The sequence below is a fragment of the Homo sapiens genome, chromosome 6 (genome assembly GCF_000001405.40).
Source record: "Homo sapiens chromosome 6, GRCh38.p14 Primary Assembly".
Taxonomy (NCBI): Eukaryota; Metazoa; Chordata; class Mammalia; order Primates; family Hominidae; genus Homo; species Homo sapiens.
Window position 1 is genome coordinate 149,466,616 of NC_000006.12, and position 19,362 is coordinate 149,485,977.

At 49.5% G+C, this 19,362-nt stretch overlaps 1 protein-coding gene across 1 annotated transcript in view, besides 8 other annotated features; it reads right to left on the reverse strand.

Annotated features, from left to right (window-relative positions):
* ZC3H12D (zinc finger CCCH-type containing 12D) overlaps positions 1-18,399 on the reverse strand; it is a 38,220-nt gene extending 19,821 nt beyond the window's left edge. Inside the window, exons 1-2 of the mRNA NM_207360.3 lie at positions 18,198-18,399; positions 7,624-7,998 (exon numbers count right to left, since the gene is read on the reverse strand). Coding sequence (NP_997243.2) covers positions 7,624-7,928 — 305 coding nt within the window. The 5' untranslated portion in view covers positions 7,929-7,998; positions 18,198-18,399. The remainder of the gene's footprint in view (positions 1-7,623; positions 7,999-18,197) is intronic.
* Positions 6,592-6,777: a silencer, noted in NCBI's record as "fragment chr6:149794343-149794528 (GRCh37/hg19 assembly coordinates)". NCBI's record gives its function as "represses an EF-1alpha promoter that drives an FKBP-Casp9 reporter gene in an ReSE screen in phorbol 12-myristate 13-acetate-treated (for megakaryocytic differentiation) K562 erythroleukemia cells {active_cell/tissue: K562(+PMA)}" and the evidence as "EXISTENCE:reporter gene assay evidence [ECO:0000049][PMID:32094911]".
* Positions 8,013-8,112: a silencer, noted in NCBI's record as "silent region_17661". NCBI's record gives its function as "represses an Ori minimal core promoter by ATAC-STARR-seq in GM12878 lymphoblastoid cells {active_cell/tissue: GM12878}" and the evidence as "EXISTENCE:reporter gene assay evidence [ECO:0000049][PMID:35858748]".
* Positions 15,124-15,979: an enhancer, noted in NCBI's record as "H3K4me1 hESC enhancer chr6:149802875-149803730 (GRCh37/hg19 assembly coordinates)". NCBI's record gives its function as "activates a minimal SCP1, AML or CMV promoter by ChIP-STARR-seq in primed H9 embryonic stem cells {active_cell/tissue: H9 hESC(primed)}" and the evidence as "EXISTENCE:reporter gene assay evidence [ECO:0000049][PMID:30033119]".
* Positions 15,574-15,723: an enhancer, noted in NCBI's record as "active region_25257". NCBI's record gives its function as "activates an Ori minimal core promoter by ATAC-STARR-seq in GM12878 lymphoblastoid cells {active_cell/tissue: GM12878}" and the evidence as "EXISTENCE:reporter gene assay evidence [ECO:0000049][PMID:35858748]".
* Positions 16,944-17,003: an enhancer, noted in NCBI's record as "active region_25258". NCBI's record gives its function as "activates an Ori minimal core promoter by ATAC-STARR-seq in GM12878 lymphoblastoid cells {active_cell/tissue: GM12878}" and the evidence as "EXISTENCE:reporter gene assay evidence [ECO:0000049][PMID:35858748]".
* Positions 17,726-18,590: an enhancer, noted in NCBI's record as "H3K4me1 hESC enhancer chr6:149805477-149806341 (GRCh37/hg19 assembly coordinates)". NCBI's record gives its function as "activates a minimal SCP1, AML or CMV promoter by ChIP-STARR-seq in primed H9 embryonic stem cells {active_cell/tissue: H9 hESC(primed)}" and the evidence as "EXISTENCE:reporter gene assay evidence [ECO:0000049][PMID:30033119]".
* Positions 18,376-18,435: an enhancer, noted in NCBI's record as "active region_25259". NCBI's record gives its function as "activates an Ori minimal core promoter by ATAC-STARR-seq in GM12878 lymphoblastoid cells {active_cell/tissue: GM12878}" and the evidence as "EXISTENCE:reporter gene assay evidence [ECO:0000049][PMID:35858748]".
* Positions 18,576-18,785: an enhancer, noted in NCBI's record as "active region_25260". NCBI's record gives its function as "activates an Ori minimal core promoter by ATAC-STARR-seq in GM12878 lymphoblastoid cells {active_cell/tissue: GM12878}" and the evidence as "EXISTENCE:reporter gene assay evidence [ECO:0000049][PMID:35858748]".

The following is a 19,362-nucleotide window of genomic DNA, read 5'->3' on the forward strand; positions in this document are numbered from 1 at the left end:
GCCTGTAATCCCAGCACTTTGGGAGGCCGAGGCGGGCGGATCACGAGGTCAGGAGTTCGAGACCAGCCTAACCAACATGGTGAAACCCCGTCTTTACTAAAAATACAAAAATCAGCCAGGCGTGGTGGCGCATGCCTGTAATCCCAGTTACACAGGAGGCTGAGGCAGGAAAATCGCTTGAACCCGGGAGGGAGAAGTTTCAGTGAGCCGAGATCAAGCCACTGCATTCTAGCTTGGGTGACAGAGCAAGACTCCATCTCAAAAATAAAATAAAATAAAATAAAATAAAATAAAATAAAATAAAATAAAATAAAATAAAAAAGCTGTTTCTTAATTGCTGCTCTTTTTTCAGGGTCTCCTTCCATATTTGCATTTAACCATTCACAAGCCATCTCTGACACCTTTGGTGGGTGTAGGAGGCAGTGTTCAGTGGTGAGAGACAGGAAGGGAACCTGGACCCTGGCAGAGCTCTCAGTCGCCCTGGGAGCCCACTCCCCAGCACACAGACAGGAATGCACACACCAAAGGCATCCACTCATCTGCACGTTCCTTCACAGACTCAGTGCAATTCCTGAATATCTACTACAAGGCTCTGCACTGCATGCTAAGAAAAGACATCACCCCTGCTTCTTGGAGCTCTTTTTTTTTTATTTAAGAAATGGAGTCTCATTCTGTTACCCAGGCTGGAGTGCAATGGTACAATCATGGCTCACAGTAGCCTCAACCTCTCAGGCTCAAGCAGTCCTCCCACCTCAGCCTCCCAAGTCGCTGGGACTACAGGTATGCACTGCCACACCTGGCTAATTTTAAAAATTTGTTGTAGAGATGAGGTCTGGCTATGTTGCCCAGGCCGGTCTTGAACTCCTGGCCCCAGGTGATCCTCCCATGTTGGCCTCCCAAAGTGCTGAGATTACAGGCATGAGCCACTGCGCCTGGCCTTGGAGCTCATTTTTAAGATCTGTAGAGGGTTCTGTCTGCCAGGGCACTTTGCACGTTTTGCCTCATTTAATCATTACAAGAAGCCCTTGAGGAAGTGACCTTGTCCCCATTTTACCCTTGAGGAAACTGAAGCAAAACAATGTGTCCATCTCTCTGATCTAGGGGCAGCCCTCAAAGCCTGACCCCTTAGGCTGCAAAACTCTTCCTCCCTAGTCTCCCAAAGACCATTGATTCCCCCCAACTCCATCTATACCTCAGGATCCAGATGGCAGTTCTTTTGGAGGAATAGTAACCCACAGTTTAAATGCTCATGCTTAGAAAAGGCACCTCATGCCCTTATTAACCAACACTGTGAACCAGCTCATCAGGCAGCAAGCCGAGAGCCAGGCCCTGGGAAAAGGAGACAGGAGCTGGGAGTTTTGTTTTTGTTTTCTGTTTGTTTTTGAGACGGAGTTTTGTTCTTGTTGCCCAGACTGGAGTGCAATGGCGCAATCTCAGCTCACCACAACCTCCACCTCCCAGGTTCAAGCGATTCTCCTGCCTCAGCCTCCCGAGTAGCTGGGATTACAAGCATGCATCACCACACCCAGCTAATTTTGTATTTTTAGTAGAGACGGGGTTTCTCCACGTTGGTCAGGCTGGTCTCAAACTCCTGACCTCAGGTGATTCGCCTGCCTTGGCCTCCCAAAGTGCTAGGATTACAGGCATAAGCCACTGCACCCCACCAGAGATGGGAGTTTTGAATAACCAAAGGTACAAAGAGGAAGTGGGTTGGCACCCAAGGCAAATTTTGCCTGCCTGACAACTGTGCCTGGGGTAGCTGCAATCAGAGTGCCAGCCAGTTTCAGTAACTAGACAATCCAATTGTACACCACTGCATCTTTGACTATTGCCAAGTAGTTCCTGCAGAGGCTAGGGGCTCCCAAAGCAGTCACATATGGAGGAAGGTTGTGGCTATGGGCAGGAGGAAAGAGAGGAGCAATGATTCCTCAGGGGTCTGAGATGTGAAGGGAAGCTGCTCTTGCCACTCTGTTTCTTACTGGGGGTTCAATTGCAAACACTCTGACCCTTCTCACCAGGAGATCTCTCCCCAGCTCAAGGCAGGGGAAAGAGACCGTGAGCAGGGGCTGATCTGGGAGCTTTCGCCTTACAAGAAATGGGTGCAGACAGGCAGGAGCCCAAGGCTAACGTCAGACAGAACAGAGTCAGGGTCTCAGAAGCAGGTCTGACCCCCAGCCCGGTCATAAACCCCCACCATTCTCTTTCTTGCCTGCTGGGAACCCACTGAGGGGGGCATGATGAAAACTGAGAGGTATGATTTCAAGCCTGATCTCTCTCTTCCTTGGAGATCCCTTACTCCAGCACAAACCAGAGCCTGCAGAGTGTCCTGAGAGTGTAAAAATGTAAACAACAGCCAAAGCAAAAAGCCCTGTGCACTCCAAAATGAGGACACATTTACATGAAACCCTACTCTGGGGCAGTAAGAGGATGTGAAATTATCAGGTGCTTTCCCCCCAAGGTTGTACTTTGAATCCCGCCTTTTCTAGATTTGCCTACAGAATGTAAAACAGGCTGGGCACTTGTGAGTCTGCCCACCCTAGGCAAGAAAATGCTGCAACTCAGCCGGGAGCGATGGCTCAAGCCTGTAATCCCAGCACTTTGGGAGGCCGAGGCGGGTGGATCACTAAGTCAGGAGATCGAGACCATCCTGGCTAACACGGTGAAACCCCGTCTGTATTAAAAGTACAAAAAAATTAGCTGGACGTGGTGGCGGGCACCTGTAGTCCCAGCTACTTGGGAGGCTGAGGCAGGGGAATGGCGTGAACCCGGGAGGCGGAGCTTGCAGTGAGCCGAGATGGCGCCACTGCACTCCAGCCTGGGCGACAGAGCGAGACTCCATCTCAAAAAAAAAAAGAAAATGCTGCAACTGTTGGCTCGTGAGAATTCATGCTCTTCCCACACACCATGATGCCATTTTGAACACGCTTTCAATGAAAGCTGCCTTCTTTTTAAAAAGTTGCTGGACATTATTCTTAAAGCCAGGTATCTATGGACTCAGGTATTCAGCTGAATGACCCGAGCTGATGTCCCTCTCTTTCTCACGGAAACACACACACAGCCCTACCTTTAAGGTATGGAGACTGCACTGAGAAATCAGTCTTTGGGCTGCTAGTCCATGAGAGCTACTATTTGAGGCACATGTGGCACCCTGAGGGCATCCTGGGCACCAGCCCTGCAGAGGGTCCCTGTGAAGGGAGTGGGGCCTCACACCTGCCTGCAGCTGACAAGTCCAGGGCTTGTCAACTGCAGCCAGAGCCCGCCTCTGGGTCAGGGTCTCCTACCCTGTGGTCCTTTCCTAGGCCGGGGGAGAGCAGAAGGAATGGTAATGTCTGGGGGGAACATGGGGCATTGGAGAGAGCACTGAATCCAGAGCTGGCTCTTCTTGCTCTGTGACCTCAGGCAAGTTACTTACTCTCTCTGAACCTCTAAAGAAGAGAAATTCCTTTACGAGAAAAATGTATTGACCAGGCGCGGTGGCTCACACCTATAATCCCAGCACTTTGGAGGCTGAGGTGGGTGGATCACTTGAGGTCAGGAGTTCAAGACCAGCCTGGCCAACATGGTGAAACCCAGTGTCTACTAAAAATACAAAAAATTAGCCAGGCATATTGGCACACACCTGTAGTCCCAGCTACTCGGGAGGCTGAGTCAGGAGAATTGCTTGAACCCAGGAGGTAGAGGTTGCAGCGAGCCAAGATCTCACCACTTCACTCCAGCCTGGGCAACACAGTGAGACTGTCTCAAAACAAACAAACAAAAAACTACAAAAATTAGCCAGGTGTAGTGGCAGGCACCCGTAATCCCAGCTACTCAGGAGACTGAGGCAGGAGAATCAACTGAACCCGGGAAGTGGAGGTTGCAGAGAGCCGAGATTGGACCAATGCACTCTAGCCTGGCAAAAGAGCAAGACTCCGTCTGAAGAAAAAAAAAATAAAAATAAAATGTATATATTTATTTCAAGCATATGTAAAATAACCACCTTGAATCCTCACCCATTAGAGATGAAAAGGCCTTTTAAGGTTTAGTCCAACATCCTAATTGTGTAAATAGGGCTCAAGCCAGGTGACCTACCTAAGGTCACACAGCTGGATGGCTGAAAAGGGACAGCTGTACAGTCCAATCTACAGCCACTTGCCACACCTGGCTATTCACATTTAAGTTAAAATTAATTGAAAAAATAAAATATAGAAGCCAGTTCCTTGGTTGCACTGGCCACATTTCAAGTGCTCGAACGTCACACGTGGCAAGTGGCTCTGTGGGGACAGGGCAGGGGTGGGCCTTGCCCTCACTGCGGGGAGTTGTGTTGGGCAGCCCTGGCCTAGCGGTCCTGTACTTCTGACTTCCCTGGTTTCCTTTATGGGGTACAGCAAGAGGTCCAGCAAAACTGGGGGCAGCCATAGGTCTGTTTACCAGGTCCCCATCTTCCACTCTCCCCACATCATCACTTGGAGTTCTCATTACGTTGACCCACCTCTTACAAAATGAGGAATGATGCCAGTAGTCCTGCTTAGGAGAGCCCATTTCTGTAAAAAGCACTGGGCCAGTGGCCCACTCTGTCAACCTCCAGAGAGCAGCAGCCAGGTCTTCTGGGTTCAGCCAAGCACGACCAATGGCATTGGGCTAAACATTCTAAAGCACTGGGGAAAGAAGCCCACAGAAACTTCTACCTATTGTGTCATGGCTAGGAAGCACAGGTGGGGGTCAGGGTCTGATTCCAGCCAGTGTTGACCATAGTCAAGCCTGTCAAGTCCTTTCCTGTGTAACTGAGAGGGTCAGAACAAGAACTGATGGCCCACTCTCACATTCTCTGTGCTAACAGGGGACACATGGCCTAGTGCCTCCTGAAAGGCAGAGGAAAAATAAATCCCTGGCCACAAAGCATAGAATTATCTGTAATGTCTCATTCTATGTCAGTGGGTTATCATATTTTTGGGGATGACAGACCCTTTAAGTGTCTATTGAAAGCTGTGACTCTTTCCCCCAGAGAAACACATATATGTACACAGACATGCCACATTGTGTATATCATTTCAGGCCATTGCTGGCTTTGAAGATAGAAGGGGCCATGAGCTGAGGAACACAGTCTCTAGAAGCTGGAAAAAATAAAAAAGACTCTTCTCTAGAACTTCCAGAAGGACACTTCCAGGGGACAGAGCCACAGCCAGGAACAGGCACACTGAAGAACATTCCTGCCAACAGGAGCCACACTTCTCATCCGCTCAAGGTGGAAAGAACAGGTGTCCCACTCAGTCTTTAAGCCCCTCCCCACCACCGCAAGGCCAGACAGTGCATGAAGCAGTACTGCCTTCAAAAACAGAAAATGGCAATGTCTGCAATACTACAAAACCTCAGTGAAAGGGAATTTTCAGAAACCATGTTTCTGAGGTTAATTGAATTTTGAGGTCAACAGATAACAATGAGACACCACTTTGGGTTTCAATCACCCATTGCCTGTGAAGGGTCAGCACCCACCTGAACCTTTCACAACTAAGGATATGGCAGACCCGGAGGGACATGAGTCCTGTTAAAAGTCCCATTGGAGGACACAACAGATGTCACTGCAGAAGGGGCAGAGGATGGGGTGGAACCTCACACTCCACTCTCCCCAGAGCTTGCCTTTAAAAGGAACAAATTAAGTCCTGTGATCAGGTGGCGGTTGTGCTATTTGTCTCTTTTCCCTAACTACTGGGATCCAGGGAAGAGGGAGGGGATGTGTGTGTGTAGACACATTGTGTGTGTGTGTCCATATATGACACACACAGAGCACAGGTACATGTGTTCTGGTTAACTCAGGTGTTTTGGAGGTAGCCAGTGTGTGAGAACATTTATGCTCTGACACATTCTTCGTAGTGAGTCTGAGTAAGGGTTTCGATGTATAACCCGCACAGATTGAACATGAGAAAATTAATCTGATTGCAATCATGAGAGGTGGGGGGCAGAGGTGGGGGATCAATGGATGTACCCACGACACATTATGGTCATGTGCAAACAGAGGATGTGGCTTAAGTTTGACTCCAAGCAGCAACAGAGACTCCCATAAAAACAAAACCCTCCACCACCCCAAAGAGAATCTCTTTGGGGACTGGGCATGTTTTTTGTTGCCCCTGAAATAGTCTTTTTACCCTACAGCCACTCTGCTGTTTTGATTTGGAATCACAGAACTCATACAACCTTAGGGCTGGGAAGGTCTTTGATTTAAGCATTCAAAGCCTTCCTTCTATGGAAGCCCAGGGAAAGAGGTTCCTTGCTCAGATCATATAGAGGCCAGGCCCCTCTCACAACCCCTTCTAGTCTTTCTAGGACCCTCAGAACCTACTGGATTCTTAAAAATCCTTTTAGCTTCCCAGAGATCTTAAATTGAGCAGAATTTCATAGGTTTACCTATCTGGTGCCTATACATGACATGGGTGACAATGTGACAGAGACCCCATGGGCCAGCCCCTAAGTCCCAGGAGAAAGAGAGGGCTCCATCACCTGCTGATGGCATCAATGCCAGGGAGACTTAGCTGGTTAAAAGTGAAAAAAAAAAAAAAACTCAAAGTACACACCGCAAAAAGTGCAGGGACAGCCCCTGAGGCTGGACCATCTGGGCTGAACCATTGCAAACCTCGGTCCTGCAACACCAAATCCAAAGTGAGCCCAAATCCCCAGGGGAAACTCTCGGAGGCTCTGTTGACACATTCGGTGCCGCGGAGAATTGCTTTTCTGGATTCCCACCTATGGTGGGAGTAACTCAGCTTTTGAAAAGGGAAGCACATATATTTACAGCTGGGAGTGAACCATTTCCTATGGCTCTGCCCTTTGCACGGTTGTAACAAAGCCAAGCGGTAGAATAATCCACTTGTTTGGGCAACGCCCCACTTCGCCCAGCAGGGTGTTGGGGGAGGCTGCAGAGATTCCGTCACAGGGGAGCTTAGCCAAGACAGGCAGATAACAACTCGGGCGTGAGGCTGGCATTCCCAAAACCCACAAAGATGCCAACACACAAATGTTCACACAGCCGCATCTGCAGCTCAGGGGGCCACAAACAAATCTCTCAAACTTAAGGTAGCCGCAACACCGCCTCCCCAGCAACCCCAGCAGAGGGCTTCCAGCGCACTTCAAAGCACACCTTCCCCTCTGATGCTCATAACCTTGAGAGAGTAGAAGAGATATTTGTGGGCCTCTTTCACAGAAGAGGAAATGAGTCCTGCAGCTTTTCCAGAGTCTCGCAGCCGGTTAGGGACAGACTCCCAACAAGAAGCCACATCTGCCAACACTTGACCCAGGGCGCCTCCCTCATTACCACACCTTCCCCAAAAGAAGGCTCTTCCTCTGGGTTATGATCATAACAGCTACACTTGTTGATCACTTACTCTGTGTCAGGCACTATCCTAGGCATTTTGTGCACAAAAACCCTCTACAGAGATTTTATCCCAACCGTACAGATGGGAAAAATGAGCTCAGAGGGGTTAAGTGACTTGCTTAATGCCACACAGTTACTAAGAGATGGTACAGGGATTCAAAGCCTGATCCGTTGGCCCCAAAGCTCTTTGGACCAAACCACAAGGAAGAGGGACAGTTCTCAGGGCTCCTGCGAACAGGGGCCTCCCCAGCCCCAGCTACAGGATGAAGGGAAGCTACCTCATCGCCACGTTGCTGCCATCAATCACTATGGGTCGCAGAGAACTGGCCAGGGTTCTGAAGTCCTCTTCCAGGGCTGTCCCCGGGCCACGCTGGGCAGAGTCCGGGACCCCACAGGAGCCCCGAGGCACTAGCCTGGGTGCAGCCGGGTGCTCCAGGGCACCCGGGCGGCTGCCCGTGCGGATAAGCTCCTGCAGCACGTCGTTGACCAGGGCGCCCTCGCCCAGCTTGCCCAACACCCGGAGCACATCCTCCCGGTCATAGCCCAGCTTCTGGAAGAATTCCATCTTGCTGGGGTGCTCCATGCTGTGCCCAGCGGCCACTGGCGCAGGTCCTGCCCCAGGCTTCCTCCTCTCAGAGCCCTGCAGACATGAGCTAAAGAGAAAAAAAATGCATCCATCAGGTGTTTCCTGGGCAGACTGGGGCAAGGGCAAGGTGTGCCTGCGCTGGCTCCCTCCCGGCCTAGCTGTCAGGAAATCAGGTGGAGCCCAGTCCCACTGGGGACTTTCAGTTGCTCAATGTGGCTGTGGAGCTGCAGAAGCAATCACGCTGCTTTCACAGTGAGCTCACTGAGGCCTTCACCCCACACTGCCCGGCAGGGCACACACCCGACCGCACACCAGGGCTGCAGGGGCTGAGCGTGCACCTAGCACTCGGGACAGGCCAAACACAGGTTTCTTGTTTCTCAGACTCTGTGGGGGGCTGAATAGTGACCTCCCAAATTCCCATGGTAAATTCCTCACCCCAGTACCTCAGAGTGTGACTATATTTAGAGCTATGACCTCTAAAAGGAGGTCCCTAATCCAATATGACTGGTGTCCTTATAAGAAGAGGAAATTTGAACACATAACACACAGAGGGACCACCATGTGAAGACTCAGGGAGAAGGGAGAAAGCAACCCTGCAGGCACCTTGACCTTGAACTTCCAGCCTCCAGAACTGTGAGACGATGAATTTCCCTTAACGCCCCAGTCTGTGGTGCTTTGCTCTGGGGCACCCAGCTCTCGGGACAGGCCAAACACAGGTTTCAAGCAGACTAACACAGGCCCCTGGCTTACCCAGGGCCAAATGCCCCCGGGCGAATTCTACTCCCAGAAAGGCAGTGCTCCCACCCAAATTCTGCTTGCTGCCCTGCACAGCTTTCCCTAATGATTAACTCAGACCACACTGAACCTCTGCAATAGAAGGGCCTGCCCCGGCTGGGCATGGTGGCTCACGCCTGTAATCCCAGCACTCTGGGAGGCTGAGGCGGGCAGATCAAGAGGTCAGGAGATAGAGACCAGCCTGGCCAACATGGTGAAACCCCGTCTCTACTAAAAATACAAAAATTAGCCAGGCATGGTGGCGCACGCCTGTAATCCCAGCTACTTTGGAGGCTGAGGCAGGAGAATCTCTTGAACCTGGGAAGCGGAGTTGTGGTGAGCAGACATTGCGCCATTGCACTCCAGCCTGGGCAACAAGAGTGAAACTCCGTCTCAAAAAAAAAAAAGGGGCCTGCCCCAAATTTCATCCATCCCAGCCAGGCATTACAGCCTGACCTACACCGGGGGTTGGGGGGTGGCCTGGGAAGGGGGCTGTGTCCTGATAGATGGCTTCTAAATGATGATGATGAAACCAACAGGAACACTCTAGACAGCCTTGGTCCCTCTCTCTTTTCTACCCACAAAGACCGATATATTTCAAAAAAAATTTTTTTAAATACAGAAATAATCATGAAAACATATTTATTGCAAGCGAAAACTCCAAGCAACGTAGAAGCATAAAGAATGAAAAGACATGATGTTTCTCCTACACACCCCAAACCCACTTGCTTCCCCTACTGTTTTTCCGCACCCCTCTAGTGCTTCCTCTGTACATTTACTTGCATGTCTAATAGATAAACACAAATATTGTTTTAGAGTTGTTTTGGTTTAGTTTTACACAAATGGTGTCATCTTATACTTATTGCTCAGCAACTTGCTTTTCTTATTAAAAATGCATTTTGGGGGCCGGGCGCAGTGGCTCATGCCCGTAATTCCAGGACTTTGGGAGGCTGATGTGGGTGGATCACAAGGTCAGGAATTCGAGACCGGCCTGGCCAACATGGCGAAATCCTGTCTCTACTAAAAATACAAAAATTAGCCAGGCATGTGGCATGCACCTGTAATCTCAGCTACTTGGGAGGCTGAGGCAGGAGACTCGCTGGAACCTGGGAGGCAGAGGCTGCAGTAAGCCAAGATCGTGCTACTGCACTCCAGCCTGGGCAACAGAGTGAGACTCCATCTCTCAAAAAAAAAAATGCATTTTTGGCTGGGCATGGTGGCTCCTGTCTGTAATCCCAATACCCTGGGGGGCCGAGGCAGGCGTATCGCTTTAGCCTAGGAATTTGAGACCAACCACAGCAACATGGCAAAACCCTGACTCTACAAAAAATACAAAAATTAGCGGGGCATGGTGGCGTTGGCCTGTAATCCCAGCTACTTAGGAGGCTGAGACGGGAAAATCACTTGAGCCCAGGAGTTTGAGGCTGCAGTGAGCCGAGATCATACCACTGCACTTCAGTCCAGATGACAGAGCAAGACCCTGTCTAAAAAAATAGAATAGAATAGAATAAAAATGCAGTTTGGAAATCTTTCCATGCTAGTTTACCTGTTCTACTGCTCACTGTATCCCCAGCACTTAGGACAGTGACTCACACAGCTGAATCTCAACGTACATGTGTTGATTGGTGAATGAATGAATGAATGAATGAATGAGTGAATACGTTCTTCAGTGTTTAACCATATGTCATAGGATGAAAGTTTGTTTTCCATTTTTCACTGTTACAAATCAGGCTCAGTGAACATTCCGGCACATCCACCTTTCTCCCTCATCCTCATCTCAGTATCACAGGCTCCTGACCTTCAGTCCCTCTTCTCCTATTTGACTTCATTGTGTCAATCACATCACTCAGCCAGGTTCCCACTTTGGCCTGGCATTCTCTGCAGGCCTGTCCCAGGAGTTCAGGAGCCACAGCAGGTCTAACAATGGCAGGGTCTGGCAGGTGAAGGGCATTTCACAGCCAGCCCCCTGGACAGAGAGGCCTCTGCCACGGCGTCCACCTGCTCACCTCCCACTCCACCTCAGCCCACTGATGGCAGGCACCACGTGAAACAATGAAACTGACCCCAGGGGCACCAGCCCCTTCTAACTGCCAAATCCAACAACACTTTCACAGTCCTTGCCTTATGCCACCTCTCTGCCGCTTTTGAAACTGGGAACCACTCCTTGACTTGTTATTTTAAATTAAAAAATTGTGGACTGCCCTTTCTTGAAACTATCTGTTCCCTTAGGCTGTATAACTTGGCCTGATTCTTCTCCTCAATTGGTCCAGCTCTTTCCCCTCTCCTTCAGTGTTGGGGTGCCACCCACACCCTCCATCAGCACCTATATTCCGATGGGCCCCACAGCTGCATGTCTTGCTCACACCTCCCACTGAGCACCAGGCACAGTTATAAGTCTGTGAGATAAACACTGTGCTTGCTACTTAAGTGCTATGGGAACTCAGAATGCAGTCACACAACAGACATGTGCTAAGTGACTACTTCAGTGGTTCCCAAGGTGTGGTCTAGGGAAGCCCGGGGGACTCCAAGATTTTTTCAGGGCATCTTCAAGGTAAAAACTATTTTTAGGCCGGGCACGGGGCTCATGCCTGTAATCACAGCACTTTGGGAGGCTGAGGCGGGCGGATCACGAGGTCAGGAGTTCGAGACCAGCCTGGCCAATATAGAGAAAACCCCTCTCTACTAAAAATATGAAAATTAGCTGGGCATGGTGGGGTGCACCTGTAGTCTCAGCTACTCAGGAGGCTGAGGCAGGAGAATCGCTTGAACCCAGGAGGGAGAGGTTGTGGTAAGCCGGGATCATGCCACTGCACTCCAGCCTGGGCAACAGAGCAAGACTCCATCTCAAAAAAAAAAAAAAAAAAACTATTTTTATAATAATGCTAAGATGTAATTTCTGTACTTTACTCTTATCCTCTCCTGAGTGTACGACAGAATATTCTAGAGTCTACATGTTATGTGATATCGCAACAGCTTGAATGCAGAAGCAGGTATGAGAATCCAGCTGTCTTCTATTAACCCAGACGTTAAAGAGATTTGCAGAAATGTTAATTAGTGCCAGGCTTCTTACTAATTTTTTTTTTGTTTTGGAAAATAAAGTTATTTTTCATGAAGATATGTCATTTATGTCAGTATAATTGGTTTATTATTATGTAGAAATAAATGAATTTTTTAAGTTCTTAGTTTTCATTTCTAATAAAGTACATATCCAGCGATAGATAGAATCCACATAAACAAAGCCTCTTTAAGAACCTTAATAATTTTTAAGAGTATAAAGGGGCTCTGAAACTAAAAAGTTAATTCTTAAATCTAGAGCTGTTCCAACAGGTATTTCCACATAGTTGACACCATGTAGGTGACCTATAGACATGCCCTCCTTCTCCCAGGGCCCCAGTACAGAACATCCAGTGTCTTTACTCCCTTAATCTGGCCCTCTCACATCTATCTCCTACTGTCCTCTGCCCCACCCACCCCTCAGTCCTGCCATCTTCACCCCATACCTGATGACTGTAACAGCCTCCATCTGGCTTGTAGCCAACATTGTATTTCTAAAACAAGTCGGATCATGTTCGCCACCTGCTTCGAAATCTCCTCATTGGCTACAAGAAATACACCAAATTCCTAGACAGGCTGCCGAGGTTGTCACAAAGCAGCCCTGACACTGACCACCTCACTGCCTGCCCCTGGCCCACCTGACCCCTTCTCTAGAGCCATGCTGAATGTTTCCCTGCTCCCTAGGCATTCCAGAATGTTCTCACACCAAGCACAGTGGCTTGTGCCTGTAATCCCAGCACTTTGGGAAGCTGAGGTGGGAAGACTGCCTGAGCCCAGGAGTTCAAGAATAGCCTGGACAATATAGTGAGATCCCATCTCTACAAAAAATGTTAAAAATTATCTGGGCATGGTGGCGTGTGCCTGAAATCCCAGCCACTCAGGAGGCTGAGACAAGAGGATTACTTGACCCCAGGAGGTTGAGGCTGCAGTGAGCTGTGATCACGCCACTGACCCAAGCCTGGGTGACAGAGCAAGAGCCTATCTCTTAAAAAATAAAACTAAATTTAAAAAACAAACAAAAAACCAGAATGTTCTCAGCACTGTGTTTCTGCATATGCTTTCCTCTCTACTTGGAAGCCTCTTTTTGTCTTGGAAGACATCAAGATTCAGCTCAGATGTTATTCAGAGCAGTCACCCCGGAGCCTACAGACAGAATGAGCAGCTTGGCCATCTCATCTACCACAGCACTTTGCTCACACCTGTCTTATAACACAATGAATTATCATTCTTCTGTTTCTCAAGACACTGAATTACTCAGGTATCCTGACCTATTGCCTCAGAATCACCAGCACCAGATGATGCCTAGTATATCTGAGGAGTTTAATGGATTTGTTTTTTTAATTTTTAGAAACAGGGTCTCACTATGTTGCCCAAGCTGGACTTGAACTCCTGGGCTCAAGTGATCCTCCCACCTTAGCCTACTAAGTAGCCAGGACCACAGGTGTATGCCACCATGCCCTAATAGATTTTTAAAACTAAATGTCCAAAGCTAAAGTTATCTTCCCTCCTCAAATATCTTTTACCTTGGCCCCCAATCTTATTGAATGGCATCCCCCAGAGGCCCAAAGAAGAAATCTCGAAGTCCCCTTTCACTCCTCTCTTTTCCTTACCTCTACAACCCATTGGCCAATAATTCTACTTCCCGGACATTTTCCATAACCACCCTCCCCTTCGCACTCACACCACCACCACCCTAGCTCATTCACTCCCTTGTGTAAGAAACATTTGCCGCTCACTGACTCAACACCGGCACTGTGCTGCATCCCAGCTCTATGAAAACAAAATAAGACAATCCAATGTCAACTCATTCACAATCAATTAAAGAAAATAGACAAAAAACATTAACAATGAGCTGTAAACCACGAAGATAAGCACGTACTTTCAATTAGAAAAATGTGTTTTCAAATATGGTACATATACATCACAGAATACTATGCAGACATAAAAAACAAAATCATGTCCTTTGCAGCAGATGGAGCTGGAGGCCATTATCCTAAGTGAATTAATGCAGAAACAGAAAACCAAATAGCACATGTTCTCACTTATAAGTGGGAGTGAAACACGGAGTACATGTGGACACAAAGAAGAGAACAATAGATACCAGAACTGACTGGGCGCAGTGGCTTATGCCTGTAATCCCAGCACTTTGGGAAGCCCAAGCAGACCAGCCTGACCAACGTGGAGAAACCCTGTCTCTACTAAAAACATAGAATTAGCCGGGCGTGGTGGCGCATGCCTTTAATCCCAGCTACTCAGGAGACTGAGGCAGGAGAATCACTTGAAACCAGGAGGCGGAGGTTGCGGTGAGCCAAGATCGCGCCATTGCACTCCAGCCTGAGCAACAAGAGCGAAACTCTGTCTCAAAAAAAACAAAAAAAACAAACAAAAAACAGGTGAGGAAGGTCTTATCTTCCTTGGAGGGGCAGGGAAGGCCAAGGAACTGTTGAAGAGAACTGAACTGCACAGTGAAAGGAGACTGGCTCTTCCAAGTGCGAAGAAGGGCCGTGTCACACTCCACGCCATCATCACAGTCGGGCCCAACACACCCTCCAGGCTCTTGGCCACCTGCCTCCAGCCCAGCCTCACCTCCTCCCTGACTGGTGACCAGTCCTTCTCTCTCAGGACGGTTGTCCCCTCAGCTGAGGTCCACCTGCAGCCCAGACTCCATAAAGGAAGGGGACACTCACCCAGCCTGACAGGCCAGCCTCTCACTGAGCCCAAAGGCTTCCAGTCAGGCTCTTCGCTCACCCAGAACATCTGCATCACAGGCAAACCCCACAGCCACACCCCTCAGAAGCCTTCCCACCCCGACAGCCCCAGCCACCTCCATCCCTCCCCACGCAGGCACTGTGACGTTTGTTTTAATTTGGAAGAAAAAGAAAGAAAGGAAGAGGGAGGAGATGTGGGAGAAAGAAAAGAGGGTGAGAACTAAGAGAGAGAAAGGACCAGAAGAAAGGAACAGGAGACAGGAACAGAAAAGTTCACCTTCCTGTGGCTTAGCATTTTTTTTTTTTTTTAGAGGGAGAGTTTTGCTCTGTCGCCCAGGCTGGAGTGAAATGGTGCGACCTCGGCTCACTGCAACCTCCACCTCCTGATTATCAACCGATTCTCCTGCCTCAGCCTCCTGAGTAGCTGGGACTACAGGCACATGCCACCACGCCCAAGTAATTTTTGTATTTTAGTAGAGACGGGGTTTCACTGGGTAGGTCAAACTGGTCTCGAACTCCTGACCTCAAATGATCTGCCCACCTCAGCCTCCCAAAGTGCTGGGATTACAGACGTGAGCCATGCTCCCGGCCATGGCTCAGCCTTTGTATCCAAGGCCTTCCCGTTACACCTGGTGGGAAGATGGGGTAGATACAAGTGTTCCCTTCCCGAGGGTGAGGAAACTGAGGCTCGGAAAGTAAAGGCTGCATGGCTAGTAAAATGGCAGAGATGATCGGCAGTGACAAAAATGATTTGTCGTTTTGAGATGTGTTCAGGACACAGGCAGCATCTTGTTAGCTGGGTCAGGTGACTTCTCTTCGGTTACCAAGGAACGGCTCTGAGGAAAGTCCAAGTTTCTTTTGTAACTTGCGCTCCATGTGACAGAAACATGAGCGTTTCCAAAATGAAAACACTGGGGGCTTTCGCCTGGAGGGGCGCAGGGACAGCCGCCCAGGGCCGAAGTAAGGGGCAGCTCCCCTAGGGGCCCTCGGGGCACAGCCCACAGCCCGTTTTCTGAGGAGACTGAAAGGGGCAAATGTGGCCAGGAGAGCTGTTTTCACACTAAACTGAAAGAATGCATCTACTTCAGAGGCTTTTTCTCCCTTGAGACTTTAAAATCAACTTGGTTCCTTTTTAAAACTTCTAAATACGGAAGAAGCGGGGACAGGAGTGGGGTGCTGCTCTTAGGAGCCCACTCGGCCCTGGAGCCGCAGCCTTCCCCCGGGACGTGATGGTCTCTGAGCTGCAGCTCTGCCAGCCGCGTCTCGTTTCCTCCTTCCTATTTTGAAGACCTGAAAATCTGAACGACTTCATTTCAGTTTCCTTCCTCCGTCCTGACTGGAAGTCACACTCTGTCCAGATGATTAGCGACAACACTTAGAAAATCCTCCAAGTGGCCCGGCAAGGCCCTGGGAGGTCACAGGAGCAGCTTCCTGTTGTCAGAGCGGGCTGCTGGGGGTGGGTTCGGGGCGGCCTGGAAGAGCAGGGAGGAAGGGAGGGGGCCCCACGGCTGGAACAGATCAGATCTGTCCATTCTAGAATCAGCCAATACAGGGGAGGGGTCCCGGGTTCTAGTTTGCAGCCTCTGACTAGAAGGGCCCTGAGGAAAAGAGAAACAAAGAGGAGAGAAGGAGTAGGCGGAGACGTGGCAGCTCCCACGGGTGCTTCCTTGTATATTATCACATCTATGGGAACCTCAGTGTCCTGGGAGCCACCTCATTACTCCCAGTGCAGGGGAGGAAACTGAGGCAAAGAGCGGCTTTGGTGACATACCCAGGCCCCTACTGTAAATAAGGGAGACCAGACTCCCAAAGGTGGCTGGCCAGAAGGCACCGCCCAGGGCTGCTCAGGTACCACCCAAAGGCCAGCAGCCACCATGAGGTGCCATGGAGCAGACCACAGCCAGCCCAGCCCCAAGACCAGCACACTTAACACCTCGCCCCTGCCCCCCAAGTCTGTTCCCGGGTCACCTCTGCCAGCTCCACAGAAATCCACGAAATTACAGCCTCCAGAACTCAGCCACCATGGTGAGGAGAAAGTTGTCTTGTCCTGAGCTTTTCCACAGAGGCCAAACAGAAAGTTTCTGGTTCAGCTCAGAGCTAGAGGCCCTCAGTGGAGCTGTCAGTTAGATTTTGAGGAAGTCACAGAGAGGCAAAGACGGTAGTTCATGGGACAAGTATTTCTCGCCTGGCCTTTATTTTTTTTTAAGGGAATTTGTAAATTTTTTTAATTTTCTTTAAATTGTGGTAAATTATATGTAACATAAAATGTACCACTGTAACTATCTTAAGGGTACAGGTCAGTAGCATGGAGCACATTCAGACTGCTGTGCAACCATCACCACCATCCAGCTCCAGATCTCTTTTCAGCCTGCAAAACTGAAACTCTCAGCTCATTAAACATAACTTCCCATTTCCCCAGTCCCTGGCACCCACCATTGTACGTTCTGTCTCAATAAATATGATGATTCTAGGCAGCTCTTAGGAGTGGAACTGTACAGTATTTGTCCTTTTGTCACCGGCTTATTTTGCTCAGCATTATATCTTCAATACAAACTCCCGGGCTCAAGCAATCCTCCTACCTCAGCCTCCTGAGCAGCTGGAACTACAGGCACACACTCCCATGGCTGGCAGGGTTTTTTTTATTTTTTGTAGAGATGGGGGTCTCACTAAGTTGCCCAGGCTGGTCTCAAACTCCTGGCCTCAAGGGATCCTCCCTCCCTGGCCCCACAAAGTGCTGGGATTACAGGTGTGAGCCACCACTCCCAGCCAATTTCTCTCGTTTTTAAGGCGAAATAACATTCCTCTGTATGTATACACCACATCACGTTTATCTATTCACCCTTCAGTGGACACTTGGGTTGCCTCTGCCTCTGGGCCTCTGTGAACGATGTTGCTGTGAACATAAGTGTGCCGGCCTGGCCTTTTCCTTTCTCAAACTTGTCCCCTGCTCTTCTGCATTGTGATGGTTTCTCTAAGGCGGACACACAAGCATTTAAGCCCCGATCCACATCCCGGAGCAACTCTACTGTAGTCCACACCCCAGCCTGTTCACGAGTCAGGGATGGGCACCCCACGATTGGCATTGCCTGGCCTTAGAGAAAAGCTCATAATCTTGGGGGCCATAGCTGAGGTTTCTTATGGCTGCAGGGAATTTGTCTTCACTGCAGTCAGATTAACATTTAGTTCAGTTTCCTCATTAGCCTTTGGGAAGCCCACAGAGGCATCCTCTATAAGAGATGCTACCAAAAGTTCCTGACTGCATTCAGCCTGGAAACTAGGCTTCCCATAGATGATAACTAGTCTAGAAGATGCTCTCATGAGCATGGTGACAGGGCTCAAATGTGCCTGGGAGTTCTACTCTTTCTGATTTCCTAATACGTAAATATCTTCAAAGGCCACAGCAGGAGGTTTTACTGAAACTGAAGAGCTCCCTCTGGTTAATCTTTCCCCCAAAAATGTCATCTGGAAATTAAGCACAATTTTGCTAAAATGAGCAAGGATTTCACCTAAATGAAATTAAAGAGGGTTATCTTATTTTTTTTATTTAGCACTTAAAATAATTTAGAGTGTGAGAAATCAGATTGTTCAGGGTCACACGCCCCCAAGGACTGCTCTCTAACAGCCCTCCTCCTGCCTCTGCCCCGGGGTTCCAGTCTCTCTCCTCCACCCCTGGACTCAAGTCTGCGTGGTGTTGGCCACACTGACTGACAGCCAGGGGACATGCACTCACCAGCAGGGTGTGTCCCTCCGGTCTTCACAATGAATGCTGGCCCAGTCGCCAGCAGCCTTCACGCCAATGTTCTCCCGTCAGTGAGGCCAGGCCCCCAGGTGCCACTGGAGTCAGAGGAGGGCAGCTGGCGTGCGCCAAGCAGCCACTAGGAGCCACTTCATGCCAATGCTCCACTTCCTGCACGCCACAGTCACGTTCAGCTGCAAAAGTAGTTATGCTTTGGGTTTTTTTGGTTTTTTTTTTTTTAAGAAAAAAAAAAAGGAAAGGAAGAAAGCAATTAAAGGGGCGGGGGGGACTTAAAGTTTGCACCTCAGCATGAGTCACCGAATCAAAGTTCAGCAACCACATGCAAAACAAACCCTCCGTGAGGGCAGCAAGTCTCCGTGAGGACGGCTGGGATTGGCTGCACAGCAAAGCCAGGAGAGGCTCCATGAGGAGAACAGCATTCAGAGTCCAAGGGGGAGAACCCCTGTTCCAAGTGGGAACTTGGAACAGAAGTTCTCCTGCCTCCAGCTGAGAAGATGATCAGATTCTAGCTGCTCCTGGGGAAAGTCGGTACTCACAGCTGGACACAAACATAGCTTGCAGGAGGAAGAGTGTCAGAGCAAGAGACAGAGCAGAGATGGCTACGGAGATATGGGTGCATATGGGGACATGGCACAGGGAGGACTCTGTCCCTGCCTTCACGAAGGGGAATTCCAAACGAGTCACGAAGTCCTTCTGACTAGGGACCAAGGCACTAGCCTGTGTCAGAGATAACATGGCCCTGTGGCTCCCTACTGCCGCCCTGCGTGGCGTGGGTGGTGGCTTCTCTCCCACTGTGGCAGGGGAAGTCTGAACCCACCTGACCACAGCATTCTGCAGACTGCCTGGTCTCCAGCCTCACCAGGTACAGGCAACAGACCCAGAACTCTGAAATTATTTCCTAAATTTGGTGATGCCCATCAGGGGTCAGAAGAAGAGGAAAGAACACAATCAACCCACACAGTAGCCCACCTCCCAACAAACCTCCCTGTCTCAGGCAGCAACTTGCTCCAGGACACACAGTCAACCAGTTGGCCAAGGTGGGTTTAGAACCCAGGTGTTGGTGCTAGGGAGGTAAGAATGGCACATGGTAACTGGAATGTGTAGCTCTTTTTATTTATTCACCACCGGTCTCCCAAAG